Here is a 2,244-nt window from a genome sequence, read left to right as displayed (position 1 = left end):
ACAGCAGGGAATGATGGTACCCTCAGATATTACTGGGGGAACCTGTACTATGATTTGGATATGATTTGCTAGACCCCATCAAGTCCCATGTTGAAATTTGATTCCCAGTGTTGGAGCTGGGGTTTGGTAAGAGGCGTCTGGGTCATGGGGCAGATTTCTAATGAATGGCTTGGTGCCATTCCCATGAGAGTGAGTGAGTTCTGTCTTAGTTTCTGTGAGAACTGGTTGTTGAAAAGAGCTTGGCACCTCCTCCCCTGTATCTCTTGCTTCCATTCTCTTGCCATGTGACCTCCATACATGCTGGCTCCCCTTTCCCTTTAGCCATGGTGGAAGCAGCCAGGAGCCCTCAACAGAAGCAGATGCTGGTGCCATGCTTCCTGTACACCCTACAGAACCATAACCCAAATAAACCTGTTTTCATGTATATATATATATAAATTACTGTCAACAAAAAGAATCAAACTCTGTAAAATATTTGAAGATATTTATTCTGAGTCAAATATGAGTGACCATGGCCCATGACACAGCCCTCAGGAGGTCCTGAGAACACGTGTCCTAGCTGGTCAGGGTTCAGTTTGGTTTTATACATTTTAGGGAGGCATAAAACATCAATCAAATACATTTAAGAAATACATTGGTTTGGTTCAGAAAGGTATGCAACTCAAAGTGGGGGTGGGGGGACAGGGGGATTCCAGGCTATACGTAAATTTAAACATTTTCTGATTGACAATTGGTTGAATTTGTCTAAAGACATGGGATCAACAGAAAGGAAATGTTGCCATTAAGATAAAAGATTGCAGAGACCAAGATTCTTTTGAAATCTCATAGTGGCTGTCCTTAGAGACAATAAATGACAAATGTTTCCTATTCAGACATTTAAAAGGTGATAGACTCGATTTCCGGGATAGGAGCCAAGATGATCGAATAGGAAAAGCTCTGGTCTACAGCTCCCAGCGTGAGTGACACAGAATACGGGTGATTTCTGCATTTCCAACTGAGGTACCGGGTTCATCTCACTGGGGTGTGCCAGACAGCGGGTGCAGGACAATGGGTGCAGTGCACTGTGCATGAGCTGAAGCAGGGTGAGGCATCACCTCACCCAGGAAGTGCAAGGGGTAAGGGAATTCCCTTTCCTAGTCAAAGAAAGGGGTGACAGACGGCACTTGGAAAATCGGGTCACTCCCACCCTAATACTGTGCTTTCCCAACAGACTTAAAAAAATGGCACACCAAGAGATAATATCCCGCACCTGGCTCAGAGGGTCCTATACCAACAGAGTCTCACTCATTGCTAGTACAGCAGTCTGAGATCAAACTGCAAGTCAGCAGCGAGGCTGGGGGAGGGGCACCCGCCATTGCCGAGACTTAATTAGGTAAACAAAGTGGCCTGGAAGCTCGAACTGGGTGGAGCCCACCACAGCTCAAGGAGGCCTGCCTGCCTCTGTAGGCTCCACCTCTGGGGGCAGGGCACAGACAAACAAAAAGACAGCAGTAACCTCTGCAGACTTAAATGTCCCTGTCTGACAGCTTTGAAGAGAGTAGTTGTTCTCTCAGCATGCAGCTTGAGATCTGAGAACGGGCAGACTGCCTCCTCAAGTGGGTCCCTGACCCCCAAGTAGCCTAACTGGAAGGCACCCCCCAGTAGGGGTGGACTGACACTTCACACAGCTGGGTACTCCTCTTAGACAAAACATCCAGAGGAACAATCAGGCAGCAGCATTTGTGGTTCACCAATATCCGCTGTTCTGCAGCCACCGCTCCTGATACCCAGGCAAACAGGGTGTGGAGAGGACCTCTAGCAAACTCCAACAGACCTGCAGCTGAGGGTCCTGTCTGTTAGAAGGAAAACTAACAAACAGGAAGGACACCCACACCAAAAACCCATCTGTACGTCACCAACATCAAAGACAAAAAGTAGATAAAACCACAAAGACGGGGAAAAAACAGAGCAGAAAAACTGGAACTCTAAAAATCAGAGTGCCTCTCCTCCTCCAAAGAAACGCAGCTCCTCACCAGCAATGGAACAAAGCTGGATGGAGAATGACTTTGATGAGTTGAGAGAAGAAGGCTTCAGACGATCAAACTAGTCCGAGCTACAGGAGGAAATTCGAACCAATGGCAAAGAAGTTAAAAACTTTGAGAAAAAATTGGATGAATGGATAACTAGAATAACCAATGCAGAGAAGTCCTTAAAGGACCTGATGGAACTGAAAACCAAGGCATGAGAACTATGTGATGAATGCAG

The 2,244-nt window shown here is 46.6% G+C and overlaps 1 annotated feature.

Moving 5' to 3' along the window:
- Nucleotides 1,256-1,792: an enhancer, noted in NCBI's record as "NANOG hESC enhancer chr11:48212556-48213092 (GRCh37/hg19 assembly coordinates)". NCBI's record gives its function as "activates a minimal SCP1, AML or CMV promoter by ChIP-STARR-seq in primed H9 embryonic stem cells {active_cell/tissue: H9 hESC(primed)}" and the evidence as "EXISTENCE:reporter gene assay evidence [ECO:0000049][PMID:30033119]".

Source organism: Homo sapiens, chromosome 11 (assembly GCF_000001405.40).
Source record: "Homo sapiens chromosome 11, GRCh38.p14 Primary Assembly".
NCBI lineage: Eukaryota > Metazoa > Chordata > Mammalia > Primates > Hominidae > Homo > Homo sapiens.
Note: the sequence above shows the minus strand (reverse complement) of the source record. Positions and strands in the feature narration are given on the sequence as shown.